The sequence below is a fragment of the Homo sapiens genome, chromosome 8, assembly GCF_000001405.40.
Source record: "Homo sapiens chromosome 8, GRCh38.p14 Primary Assembly".
NCBI classification, from domain to species: domain Eukaryota; kingdom Metazoa; phylum Chordata; class Mammalia; order Primates; family Hominidae; genus Homo; species Homo sapiens.
In genome coordinates, this window is record NC_000008.11 from 8,124,198 (window position 1) to 8,138,604 (window position 14,407).

The following is a 14,407-nucleotide window of genomic DNA, read 5'->3' on the forward strand; positions in this document are numbered from 1 at the left end:
GGCTTTTCCTACTTGCTTCACAGCCTCCTGCATCCTACACCAGCACCAGGCTCTCACCACCTGTGGGCTGCCCTCATCTGTGATCATCTCTCCCCAGGCCTGCTGTTCCTCAAGAAAGGAAGTTGTAATGGACAGAATACTAAGACAGCCCCCAAGAGACCCACTCCCTTATATCTGCTCCCTGTATCATCTCCTCTTCTTGAGTGTGTGCAGAGCTTGTGATTTGGCCAAGAGGAAGGAATTTTGCAAATGTGATTATGGTCACAGTTGCTTTGTTAAGCACATTTGTTCAGCTGACTTTGAGTTCATCCAAAGCAGGATGATCTTAGGTGGGCCAGACCTAATCAGGTGAATCTTTTAAAGGTGAAGTTTCAGAGGTTCAACCCTTAGCCTCCAAGGAGACACAAATGGCCATGCTGTGAGCTGTCTTTGGAGGTGGCAGCTCTAGGAGTTGAGGGCCTTCATTCAACAATTGCAAGATATTGAATTCAGTCCACAAACTGAATAAGCTTGGAAGAGGATACTGAGCATCCCATGAGACCCCAGCTCCAACTGACACTCTGGTTGCAGTACTGTGACCCTGAATAGAGGACCCAGTTAAACCCTGCCCAGACCCTTGGTGGTGTTTTAAGCTGCTCAGTTTGCACTGGTAAATCCACCAACAGGAAAGTAATATAGAAGTTAAATGGGCCGGACGTGGTGGCTCATGCCTGTAATCCCAACACTTTGGGAGGCTAAGGTGGGTGGATCACAAGGTCAAGAGATGGAGACCATCCTGGCCAACATGGTGAAACCCCGTCTCTACTAAAAATACAAAAATTAGCCAGGCGTGGTGGCACACACCTGTAATCCCAGCTACTCAGGAGGCTGAGGCAGGAGAATCACTTGAACCCAGGAGGCGGAGGTTGCTGTCACCCGGGACCATGTCACTGAACTCCAACCTGGGCAACAGAGAGAGACTCCATCTCAAAAATATATATATATATATTTTTTTTTTAAACGAATACTTTTGACCATTGATGGAAGTTGCTTTCATTCCCTCTTACTTAATCATCTTTATCTTAGCCCTGAAAGAGGGATGCTTTAACCTCATTTGTAACAAGTGAGTCTGAGGCCCAGGAAAGTGATAGAATTTAGCAAAGTTCACCTTGCTACCTGGTGGCCCCAGCTAGAACTCAGACCCAGATCCATATACCTAAAGTCATTACAACATCAACTAAAATTTTGCCCCTCACTCCATGCCTTCCTCTTAAGAAGCCTGTTCCTTCAGGGATAGATCCCAACCCAGTGTTACAAGGTACTGAACTCTGATTTTCACAAAATATAGTAACTACCCCCCAAAATTAGTAATAGTATTTTTGAGCCGGGCACGGTGGTTCATGCCTGTAATTCCAACACTTTGGGAGGCTGAGGTGGGCAGATCATGAGGTCAAGAGCATCCTGGACAACATGGTGAAACCCCATCTCTACTAAAAATACAAAAATTAGCTGGGAGTGGTGGCAGGTGTCTGTAATCCCAGCTACTAGGGAGGCTGAGGCAGGAGAATCGCTTGAACCCAGGAGGCAGAGTTTGCAGTGAGCTGAGATTGCACCACTGCACTACAGCCTGGCAACAGAGCAAGACTCTGTCTCAAAAAAAAAAAAAAAAAAAAAAAAAAACTAAAAAAAACTATTTTTGAGTCCTTATGTGTCAACCACTGGGCTATCCCAACACCAACAGATACTATGATTATGATTAGTTTTTCCATTTTATTGATGAGGAAGCCAACACATAGAAAGGTAAAGGAACTTGCCAAAGGTGATGGTCACACAGCCAAAGAGCTGTAGAAGCAGCACAGGAATCCCAGCAAACTCACAGCCAAGCTCTGCTTTTCACCTTCACATCATACTGTCCTCAGACTAAAACCCTAACTCTGACCTTCCCAATCAAAAATCATACTCAAGGCCGGGCACAGCGGCTCACGCCTGTCATCTCAGCACTTTGGGAGGCTGAGACAGGTGGATCACCTGAGGTCAGGAGTTCCAGACCAGCCAGGCCAACATGGTGAAACCCCATCCCTACTAAAAATACAAAACTTAGCCAGGTGCGGTGGTGGTTGTCTGTAGTCCCAGCACTTTGGGAGGCTGAGGCATGAAAATCACTTGAACCCAGGAGGCAGAAGTTGCTGTTATCCATGATCATGCCACTGCACTCCAGCCTGGGCAAGAGAGTGAGACTCTGTCTCAAAAAAAAAAAAATAATAAAATAAAAAAATAAAAAAAATTGTGCTTAGTAATAGCTTGGAAGTGCACATATCTTCTGTGAAGTTTGATGGACTACAATTAGCTTCAAAACACAAATAAGTAACTGCATTTAAATGAGACCTTCTGTGTAATAGCTAGGGAAAGTCAATGTAGATATTCATATTTTGGTTCCTCTTCCAGGCACAGAGAAGTTGCCCATGACTCTTTGATCTGTTTTGTCCAATGAACCACGAGCAGGAGCAACTTGAGTCACCTCCAGGTGGAAGTGTTAAGAGGCTCTATGATCCACCACATTCTCTTTCCCCTGAAGTGGTGATCAAGGACACATGCAGAGATGGGGCTTTTGTCAGCCTGGATCCCTGAGTGAACACAATGAACAGACCACCCCACAATGCCCTAACACAGCCCAGACATGCAACGTGACCAAGAATAAGCCTCACTGTGGCCAGACATGGTGGCTCATGCCTGTCATCCCAGCACTTTGGGAGGCCAAGGCGGGTGGATCATTTGAGGTCAGGAGTTCAAGACCAACCTGGCTAACATGGTGAAATACTGTCTCTACTAAGTACAAAAATTAGCCAGACAGTGATGGCATGGGCCTGTAATCCCAGCTACTCAGGAGGCAGGAGAATCACTTGAGTCTGGGAGGCAGAGGTTGCAGTGAGCTGAGATTGCACACTGCACTCTAGTCTGGGTGACAGAGTGAGACCCTGTCTCAAAAACAAACAAACAAATACCTCACTGCATGAGGCCACTGAGATTTGGGGATTGTTGTTACAGCACCAGAACGCAAATCATCCTGACTGCTAGGGTGTCCTAACTAGGGTTTCTTACCAAAAGCAAAGGCATTTTTAAAGTTCGTGACATTTAAACAAAAGAGCAAATACCAATATCTACCACTTTGTCAGGCTAACAAACCCAAACAAAGCCAACAGCCAGAAGTTAAAATAAACAGATCATTAGGTTGAAAATAGAACTGTCAAAACAGGCCCAATTGACTTCATTTAGTGATTGCAAAGAACATCAGGCAAGACACAGGTATGCTCATCATAACATTTATCACATGCTTCATTGCACATGTTTGACTAAGAAAAACAAAGTATTTAAGCTCATCTGTAGTTCAAAGTGCCTATCCGTGTATTTATCTATTCATCCTGATTTATTTATTGAGCAACTCTTTTGTGCCAGGCACTGTGCTGTGTTGCGGGAAGTCAGGGACCCCAAATGGAGGGACCAGCTGAAGCCATGACAGAAGAACGTGGATTATGAAGATTTTATGGACATTTATTAGTTCCCCAAATTAATACTTTTGTAATTTCTTATGCCTGTCTTTACTGCAATCTCTAAACATAAATTGTGAAGATTTCATGGACACTTATCACTTCCCCAATCAATACCCTTGTGATTTCCTATGCCTATCATTACTTTAATCTCTTAATCCTGTCAGTTGAGAAGGATGTATATCGTCTCAGGACCTGTAATAATTGCGTTAAGTACATAAATTGTACATCATGTGTGTTTGAGCAATATGAAATGTGGGCACCCTGAAAAAAGAACAGGATAACAGCAATTGTTCAGGGAATTAGAGAGATAACCTTAAACTCTGACCGCTGGTGAGCCAGGCAGAACAGAACCATATTTCTCTTCTTTCAAAAGCAAATGGGAGAAATATCGCTGAATTCCTTTTTTCAGCATGGAACGTCCCTGAGAAAGAGAATGCGCACCTAGGGGTAGGTCTCTGAACTGGCCCCCCGGGGCGTACCTGTCTCTTATGGTCGAGATTGCAGAGGTGAAATAAACTCCAGTCTCCCATAGCACTCCCAGGCTTATTAGGAAGAGAAAATTCCCGCCTAATAAACTTTGGTCAGACGGGTTGATCTCAAAACCCTGTCTCCTCATAAGATGTTATCAATGACAATGGTGCCAAAACTTCATTAGCAATTTTAATTTCACTTCCGTCCTGTGGTCTGGCCCTGTCTCCACTTGCCTTGTGATATTCTATTACCCTGTTAAGTACTTGATGTCTGTCACCCACACCTATTCATATACTCCCTCCCCTTTTGAAACTCCCTAATAAAAACTTGCTGGTTTTTGTGGCTTGTGGGACATCACGGATCCTACCAATGTGTGATGTCTCCCCCAGATGCCCAGCTTTACAATTTCTCTCTTTTGTACTCTGTCCTTTTATTTCTCAAGCCAGTCGACGCTTAGGAAAATAGAAAAGAACCTACGTGATTATCGGGGGAGGTCCCCCGATATCTGGCGCCCACGTGGTCTTTCTTTTTTCCTAAGTGCATGAGGGAACCGGATTCCGTTTGGTAGGTGCGGTGAAACGTCAATCGGCTTGGTCCACAGATAAGCGTGTTCAACTCCCCGATGAGTGGTGAGTAATCTGTGTAAGGTCTGGGTTAACTGTGGGTCATGTGTAATCTAACAAACTCCTGTTAAAACCGGTAACCATGAAAAATATGATCACTCTATTCAGGGCAGTAGAAAAATACTGTTCTTGGTTTCCTGAAAAAGGAACGGTGTATATAAAATTGTGTGATTGTGTCCGTAAGGCATTCCGAAAACTGATCTCGGCCGGGTATTATGTGCCCATCACTGTTTGGGGTGCTTGGTGCGTGACATCTTCGTGGCTTGCCAATCTCCTGACCCCCTGCAGTTGCCGCAGTTTTCTGCCTTTTCCTCAGTTTCTCTGCCTTTTTCTCAACCTTCCTCTCCCACATGGCCTTCGTTCAGACTCTCCCTTCAGCTACTCCTCCCCTCCCTAACGATTCTGAAAATTCGATTTCTAACTCTGGTAACTTTGGCTTAAAGTTACCCCCTACTTTTCTTACTTCTTCCCACGAAAAGCCGGTACTTCAAACTCCTGCGGCTGTGACTCAAAAAGCCCGGTACCATAAATATGCTAATTCTTCTCTCTTCAAACCTCCAGCATCAAATAATGGCTCTGGGACCAAACTACAATTTACCTGTCATTCTCCAGGCCCTCCCCCATCCACTACAGCCCCTCACCCTCCTGTCGTTTCAGTTCCTCAGCCAGTCTGCATCGATATGCGCCGCTCAATCTTACCTTTTTAAAAACAATTTAAGGATGCTTGTACTCAGTATGGTCCTACTTTTCCTTATGTTCAAATGGTATTGCAAACTTTTTATACTGAGGTCGTTTTGCTTCCTTTAGACTGTGATCTTTTGGCAAAAAGCTGTTCTAAGTCCATCTCAGCCTGGTGGTAGGAGGAGGCCTGTTTACAGGCTCAGCTAAATCGGAGTAATGGCATTCTAATTACTCAGGCTCAGCTCACAGGCTCCGATAGTTTCTCTGATGCTTATGCCCAATTAAACTTTGATACTCTTACCACAGAACAAGTAACAAAAGTGTGTATGAGAGCTTGGGATAAACTACACTCCCCAGCCCAAGCTCCTGTTTCTTTTACTACTCTTCAACAAGCTCAATTGCTTTTACTACCTAATATCCTTTTAAACAAAGGAGATAAGACAAGTGGCCCTGGGATTCAGCAGGGGCCGCTTTCTAAAGAAAAACTGGAGGCTTTAAATCAATTGGTTTCTGAGCAGTTACAACTTGGAAATGTGGAACCTTCTCTTTCCCCTTGGAATTCTCCTGTTTCTAGTAAAAAAGAAATCAGGCAAATGGCGGATAGTAACCGATTTAAGGGCCATTAATGCTGTAATTAAACCTATGGGGGCCGTCCAACCCGGCATGCCTGCCCCTGCTTTAATACCTAAAGATTGGCCTCTCATAGTTATTGATCTTAAAGAGTTTTTTTTTTCATATCGCTTTACATAAATCGGATTGTGAAAAATTTGCTTTTACTGTACCATCTATCAATAATCAGGAGCCTGTAGCTCGTTATCAATGGAAAGTACTTCCTCAGGGAATGCTAAATAGCCCTACAATCTGCCAGCTTTATGTTGGACAAGTGCTTTCACCAGTTTGAGCCCGATTTCCCGAGGCCTATATTCTTCATTATATTGATGATATTTTAATTTCTGCCCCCACTGATAAAAAATTAATTGACTGTTACCAAATTTTGAACCGCTGTGTTACAGAGGCTGGATTACGCATTGCTCAGGATAAAATTCAACAGACCACTCCTGTTCAATATTTAGGAATGGTGGTCGATAAACAATGTATTCAACCTCAAAAAGTTCAAATTAGGAGAGATTCTTTAAAAACTTTAAATGACTTCCAAAAACTTTTGGGTAACATTAATTATTTAAGACCTACTTTAGGCATTCCGACCTATACCCTGTCTAACTTGTTCTCTATGCTGCGGGGAGATTCTGATCTCCGCAGCCCTAGGACTTTGACCCCTGAGGCTTTACTGGATCTGGAATTTGTAGAGGAAAAAATCCAGACTGCCCAGTTATCTAGAGTACAGACATTTCAGCCTTTTCAGCTTCTGGTTTTTGCTTCATTACACTCTCCTACTGGACTAATAGTTCAACATAATGATTTAGTGGAATGGTGTTTTCTTCCTCATTCTGTGTCAAAAACTTTATCTAGACCAAATAGCCATATTAATTGGACAGGTTCGGTGCAGAATACTTCAATTTTCTGGATTTGATCCAAGTGTAATTGTAGTTCCTTTAAATCAGCTCGAAGTTCAAGCTGCCTTTCAACATTCTGTACTGTGGCAAATTCACTTGGCTGATTTTATTGGTGTTATTGACGATCATTATCCAAAAAAACAAATTGTTTGATTTTATAAAAATAACGTCTTGGGTGGTTCCTCGATTAACCAAAAATCAACCCATTCCTGAGGCCGTTACAGTATTCACTGATGGCTCTGGTAATGGCAATGCTGGCTATACAGGTCCTGCAGACAAACTTCTTTCTACCTCTTATACTTCTCTTCAAAATGCGGAGTTAATTGCTGTGATTACTGCCTTACAGGATTTCCCCAAACCTTTAAATATTGTCTCTTATTCTACTTAACGTGGGGAAGAGGATATGCTTGTGTTTCACCAGGAGATCATCAATCCCCTGTCTGGGTGCCCACCAGAAGACTCAAGCTTCTTGTGAATACTGACAATCAAAACCACAGTGAAGAGACGTCTGTGTCAGAGACTGCCTTCAGATGTGGTGAGATCTGTGCCGACTCCTCAGAAACAGGCACACCAAATCACAATGGGTGTAAATCAATCCTCCCTGATGACAGTGGAGACCCATCTAACTAATCACACTTATCCTGATTACCTTTCTTTTTCTCCTTACAAACCTAAATATCTCACCATTTCTATTAGCCTGAAAATAACATCCCACTCTTCTTCTCTTTCTCCTTCAGCACTCCATCTCGCTTACACTAGGTTTTATTTAATGATTCTCCTCCTTATACTTTCTGTCTCACCAGTTTCCTCTCACACTGATTTACCTGCTACACATAATTATTCTTCTTGGGCTTAGGTGTCTTTTCCTCCACTTATTCGCTCTCTCACCCGGATAGATGCTCCCGCAGAAATCTACACTAACGATAGTGTGTGGATGCCTGGAGCCATAGACGACCCTTGCCCCGCACAACCAGGAGAAGAAGGCACTGCATTTAATGTTACCATGGGTTATAAATACCCACCTCTGTGCCTCGGACATGCACCTGGTTGCATCCATCTAGAAACTCAGTTCTGGGCTGCTTATCTTTCAGAAACATCAGCTACAGATAAAATGGGACATTTGGCCTCTGGCCTCTCCCTTTCTCCTTTACAACAAATGAAAGGAGGAGTAATGGGAGGTACCCCATACTTTCAATATAAACCTGCAGGAAAACCATGCCCTAAACATTTTGAGGGACCATCTAAAACTTTAATTTGGGAAGATGGTGTTAACTCACATGCAGTAATATTAAAAAATGACTCATATGGTTTAGTAATAGACTGGGCACCATAGGGCTATTTAAAAAACAATTGCTCCTCTGTGGAAGGGAATGCCTGGAGGCTACTTATTTTATTTCTTATCAGGAGAAAGAGAATCATCATTCAAGGATCAGCTCATTCTTTCCCTTAAAATGGGAAGATAAAGGCATTACCCCCGCCCCCACCAGGCATCCTATGATACTCCCTATTCTGAGCCCAGAACACCCAGAACTTTGGAAATTGGCTATTGCCATGTCTGGACTGCGAGTATGGGAAGGAAAAACTATTTTGACTGTTGTTCCCACTACCGTCCCACTCTCTCAGTATCAACGTAGACCCAGATATTCTGCTTTACTTACCTCCAACCTGACTGTTCCCATACAGAGTTGTGTTAAGCCTCCTTACATGATATTGGTAGGAAATATCAAAATTTGGAAGAATAATCAAAGTGTCCAATGCATCAGTTGTCATCTATACACTTGTATTAACTCCCACTTTGACTCCAGGAAAAGTGTAATGTTGGTTTGAGCTCGAGAAGGAATCTGGATTCCGATAACTTTACCTAGACCTTGGGAATCCTCCCCCTCAATACATTTAATTAATGAAGTGGTACAACGAATTCTAAAAGAACCTAAGATATTTGTTTTCACTTTAATCGCTGTTATCATGGGCCTAATTACAGTCACTGCAATGGCCACCACTGCTGGAATGGCATTACACCAGTCTATTCAAACGGCTCATTTTGTTAATGATTGGCAAGCCAATTCCACCCAAATGAGGAATTCTCAACAAGGCATCGATCAAAAATTGGCAAATCAAATTAATGATTTAAGACAGTCTGTTATTTGGCTTGGAGATCGGGTAGTGAGTCTAGAACATCGCATGCAAATGCAGTGCGATTGGAATACTTTGGATTTCTGCATCACCCCTATTCCTACAACGAGACTGATCATTCATGGGAAATGGTCAAAGGACATCTTCTAGGTAGAAAATATAATTTATCATTGAAAACAACTAAATTAAAAAAAAAACAAATTTTTGAAGCCTCACAAGCTCACTTATCCATCGTGCCTGGAGCTCAGGCGTTAGATCAGGTGGCAGAAAATCTTTATGGATTAAACCCCAGAACTTGGATTAAGTCTATTGGGGGCTCCACTGTAGTAAATTCTGGAATTATGTTTCTCTGCTTCATCGGCTTGCTTTTAGTGTGCCGTACCAGTCAAATAATCCTGTGTCAAAATCGAGAGAATGAACAAGCCTTCATCGCCATGGCACATTTATATAAAAAGAAAGGGAGAGATGTTGCGGGAAGTCGGGACCCCAAACAGAGGGACCGGCTGAAGCCATGACAGAAGAACGTGGATTATGAAGATTTTATGGACATTTATTAGTTCCCCAAATTAATACTTTTGTAATTTCTTATGCCTGTCTTTACTGCAATCTCTAAACATAAATTGTGAAGATTTCATGGACACTTATCACTTCCCCAATCAATACCCTTGTGATTTCCTATGCCTGTCATTACTTTAATCTCTTAATCCTGTCAGTCGAGAAGGATGTATATCGTCTCAGGACCTGTAATAATTGCGTTAAGTACACAAATTGTACATCATGTGTGTTTGAGCAATATGAAATGTGGGCACCCTGAAAAAAGAACAGGATAACAGCAATTGTTCAGGGAATTAGAGAGATAACCTTAAACTCTGACCGCTGGTGAGCCAGGCAGAACAGAACCATATTTCTCTTCTTTCAAAAGCAAATGGGAGAAATATCACTGAATTCCTTTTCTCAGCATGGAACGTCCCTGAGAAAGAGAATGCGCACCTAGGGGTAGGTCTCTGAACTGGCCCCCCGGGGCTTACCTGTCACTTATGGTCGAGATTGCAGAGGTGAAATAAACTCCAGTCTCCCACAGCACTCCCAGGCTTATTAGGAAGAGAAAATTCCCACCTAATAAACTTTGGTCAGACGGGTTGATCTCAAAACCCTGTCTCCTCATAAGATGTTATCAATGACAATGGTGCCAAAACTTTATTAGCAATTTTAATTTCACTTCCATCCTGTGGTCCTGTGATCTCACCCTGTCTCCACTTGCCTTGTGATATTCTATTACCCTGTTAAGTACTTGATGTCTGTCACCCACTCCTATTCATATACTCTCTCCCCTTTTGAAACTCCCTAATGAAAACTTGCTGGTTTTTGTGGCTTGTGGGGCATCACGGATCCTACCAATGTGTGTTGTCTCCCCCGGATACCCAACTTTAAAATTTCTCTCTTTTGTACTCTGTCCTTTTATTTCTCAAGCCAGTCGACGCTTAGGAAAATAGAAAAGAACCTACCTGATTATCAGGGCAGGTCCCCCGATAGTGTTGGGTGGTGGTAATGCAATGATGAAGATGGCAGGCATGCCTCTGCCCTCCAGGAGTTTCTAGGATACAGAGGGGGACAAACAAAAAATAAGTAAATCTATGAAAGAAGTATAGGTGGAAACTGCCCCCAATATTTCAATGTAGGTTCTTTCTGTTTTCCATAAGTGTCAGCCAGCTGAGAAATAAAGAGAGACACTACAAAGAGGAATTTTACAGCTGGGCTGCTGCGGGTGACATTACACATCAGTAGGACCGTGATGCCCCCTGAGTCTCAGATGAGCAAGTTTTTATTAAGGGCTTCAAAAAATGCATTCCTTTCCCAGGGTATTACTATTAATATTCCTTGCTAGGAAAAGAATTTAGCGATCTCTCTCCTACTTGCACATCCGTTTATAGACTCTCTGCAAGAAGAAACATATGGCTCTTTTTGCCCAACCCTGCAGGCAGGCAGACCTTATGGTTGTCTTCCTTTGTTCCCTAAAAATTGCCGTTATTCTCTTCTTTTTCAAGGTGCACTGATTTCATATTGTTGAAACACACATGTTTTACAATCAATTTGTACAGTTAACACAATTATCACAGTGGTCCTGAGGTGATGTACATCCTTAGCTTATGAATATAACAGAATTAAGAGATTAAAGACAGGCATAAGAAATTATAAAAGTATTATTTGGGAACTGATAAATGTCCATGAAATCTTCACCATTTATGTTCCTCTGCCATGGCTCCAGCCAGTCCCTCTCCATTTGGGGTCCCTGACTTCCCACAACAAGAAACAATAAGAGGTTAAGGTGGAGAAGAGCAGGCAAGTCCACTTTATAAAGGGGTCAGGGAAGAGCTGTCTGTGGAAGCACCATTTTAGCTGACACCTGAAGGATGGTCTAATTTGGGGAGGTGCAGGGAAAATCATTCCAGGCTGAAGCAGCAAGTGCAAAGGCCGTGTTGTGGAAAAAGGTTTGAAAGTCCAAGAAAACAAAAGGAGGCCATAGTGGCTGAAATAGAGTAGGCCAAGGGCAGGAGATAGTAGAGGGCTGGAGAGGTGGCAGGAACAGGCAGAAGACTCGGGGTCTCGATTTTATTCTATGTACCATGGGCAGGAAAGGCAGGGATGAGACTCAATGGAAGCCTTAAGATCACTGAAGCTGCCAGGTAGGAAATGGATTGCTGAGCATGGAGAGCAGGTGCAGAGTACCAGTTAAGACCAGTTAGGAGGCTGCTGTAGCCCAGCTGAGATAGTGGTGTCCTAGGCAAAGATAATGACAGTGAAGCTACAGAGAGTGGACAAGTTGGATAAAGTTTAGAATCACAGGACTTGCTGACTGGAGAAGAGGGCAAAAGAAGAGTTAGCACAACACATGAGTTATGACCACCTTGAGCAGCTCAGCAGGGGGTGGTGCCATTTACAGAACAGAGATGGCATGGACAGAGCCCATGGAGAAGGAGGAGGAAAAAGAGAGTTTGGCTTTGGTTTTTTTTTTTTTTAAGACAGGGTCTCTGGCTGTGTCACCCAGGCTGGAGTGCATTGGTGCAATCATAACTCTTTGCAGCCTCAAACTCCTGGGCTCAAGTGATCCTCCTGCCTCAGCGTGCCATGTAGCAGGACTACAGATCCTACAGATGCACATCACCATGCCTAGCTTTTTTTTTTTTTTTTTTTTTTTTGTAGATAGGGAGTCTCACTCTGTTTTCCAGGCTGGCTTCCAACTCCTGGCCTCAAGTAATCCTCCCACCTCTGCCTCCCATAGCACTGGGATTACAGCCATCACCTACCACTCCAAGCCATGAGTTTGGCTTTGGATGTAACAAAGTTGAGGTGTTCATGAGTTGACAAGTGGAAAAAACAAGAAAGAAGTTGAGTGTTAAAACTGCTGTTTGAAGGAGAATTCTAGCCTCAAGACAAAAGTTCAGGACTCATTAGCTGAGAAATGGCACTGAAAATTATGTAAATGGATGAGCTCAGCTAGCAAACAAGTCCAGAGAGAGCAGCACTGGGCTATACATCTGGCCTAATGCTGCCCTGCTCCTCCCAATCCCTGTGTTATGCTGGAGAGGGTTCAGCCTCTGGTGAGTTTCACCAAACCCCCACATCTCTTTCTTCTGAGACCTTCTCTAAAATCCCCTCTTTTATACTTAGTGAAATGGGATTCTCTTTTTCCCATCCAGCTTAAGCACAAACTTTTGACTATGAGAAGAATGAGGATGCATTTAGTATCTGTTCTGCATGGCTAATTCCATCAAAGATTTCTCATTATTCATGCCTGGCAGTCTCATTTTCTTCTTTTGCCTCTAAGAGCACAGTCGTAGCCATAATTACTGACATTTTCACTCTTCTAATACCAGCGATTTCCCCCATCTCAGTTCTCAGGAAGTTCTGTTCACAGAATTATCTCCTGAATCCTCACCTGGAGATAGAAATTGTTCTCTGTGGCCATTTCTTCCCCCTCTAATTCTTATCAAAAAACTCAGTGATCTCTGTGCATCAGATATTAAACTCAAGCTCAATAGATCATGATTCTGGCTTGTCTGTCTCTCCTGCCTGTGGGTTAACAGGTATGCAACCTTTGCAGAGGAGACACCAAATTCTCAGGAGGCCAGAGTTTCCAAAGGTACTGGTCACTCTTGCTCTCTTTCTCCTGCTCAGAATTCAGCACTAGAGAGTGTTACACCATTGCACCTGCAGAGGAGTTCATCTGACTCTAGGGACTACAGAGGAGAGAGATGGACAAACTAACAGGCATTCAGAAAATGACTACCACAATGGGGAAGAAAATGAAAGTCAAACCAAATAAGCAATGGTCAACAAAAAAAAAAATCTAGAGGGCAGCTGCAGTGGCTCACACGTGTAATCTCAGCACTTTGGGAGGCCGAGGCAGGTGGATCACTTGAGATCAGGAGTTCGAGACCAGCCAGGGCAACATAGTGAAACCACATCTCTACTAAAAATACAATAATTAGCCAGGTGTGGTGGCGGGCACCTGTAATCCCAGCATTTTGGGAGGCTGAGGTGGGTGGATCACCTGATGTCAGGAGTTTGAGACCAGCCTGGCCAACATGGTGAAACCCTATTTCTATTAAAAAATACAAAAATTAGCCAGGTGTGGTGGCAGGTGCCTATAATCCCAGCTACTTGGGAGGCTGAGGCAGGAGAATTGCTTGAACCCAGGAGGCAGAGGTTCTGGCGAGCAAAGATTGCACCACTGCACTCCAGCCTGGGCAACAGTGAGACTTTGTCTCAAAAAAAAAAAAAAAAAAAAAAAAAAACAACCTAGAGATGTCCATCCAGGCTGGACAGAATATTCCAGAGCAGAGATTGGGACACTATGGCCCATGGGCCAAATCTGACCTGCTTGCACATGTGTTTGTCAATAAAGTTTTATTGAAACACAGCCATGCACATTTGCTACATATTGTCTACGGCTGCTGGATTTGGCTGTTCTCATGGTATAAAGAAATACCTGAGACTGGGTAATATATAAAGAAAAGAGGTTTAATTGGCTCGCAGTTTTGTAGGCTATACAGGGAGCATGACACTGACATCTGCTGAGCTTCTGTGGAGGCCTCAGGAAACTTACAATGATGGCAGAAAGTGAAGCGGGAGCAAGAGAGTAAGGAGGGAGGTGCGACACACTCGTAAACAACCCGATCTTGCAAGAACTCACTCACTATTGCAAGGACAGGACCAAAAGGATGATGCAAAATCATTCATGAGAAATCCACCCCCATGATTCAATCTCTTCCCACCAGGCCCCACCTCTAACACTGGGGACAGCTTTTATCTTGGCTTTTTCACTGGCAGCCCCTTCCTCAAGGACTTAACTTGTGTAAGCTGACTCTTAGCAGATCTAAGAATGCAATTAACTGATAAGATACTGTGGGGCGAGCAATATCCACAGTTCCCAGGAATTTGTCCGATTGATAATGCC

General features: G+C 43.3%; 1 long non-coding RNA gene across 1 annotated transcript in view, besides 2 other annotated features; it reads right to left on the reverse strand.

The window, feature by feature from the left end:
- Positions 1 to 14,407, reverse strand: part of FAM85B (family with sequence similarity 85 member B) — a 126,742-nt gene that overhangs the window by 23,436 nt on the left and 88,899 nt on the right. The window contains exon 3 of the long non-coding RNA NR_147089.1: positions 10,455 to 10,543. This is a non-coding gene — a long non-coding RNA (family with sequence similarity 85 member B). The remainder of the gene's footprint in view (positions 1 to 10,454; positions 10,544 to 14,407) is intronic.
- Positions 3,776 to 4,439: an enhancer, noted in NCBI's record as "OCT4-NANOG-H3K27ac hESC enhancer chr8:7985495-7986158 (GRCh37/hg19 assembly coordinates)". NCBI's record gives its function as "activates a minimal SCP1, AML or CMV promoter by ChIP-STARR-seq in primed H9 embryonic stem cells {active_cell/tissue: H9 hESC(primed)}" and the evidence as "EXISTENCE:reporter gene assay evidence [ECO:0000049][PMID:30033119]".
- Positions 5,103 to 5,765: an enhancer, noted in NCBI's record as "NANOG-H3K27ac hESC enhancer chr8:7986822-7987484 (GRCh37/hg19 assembly coordinates)". NCBI's record gives its function as "activates a minimal SCP1, AML or CMV promoter by ChIP-STARR-seq in primed H9 embryonic stem cells {active_cell/tissue: H9 hESC(primed)}" and the evidence as "EXISTENCE:reporter gene assay evidence [ECO:0000049][PMID:30033119]".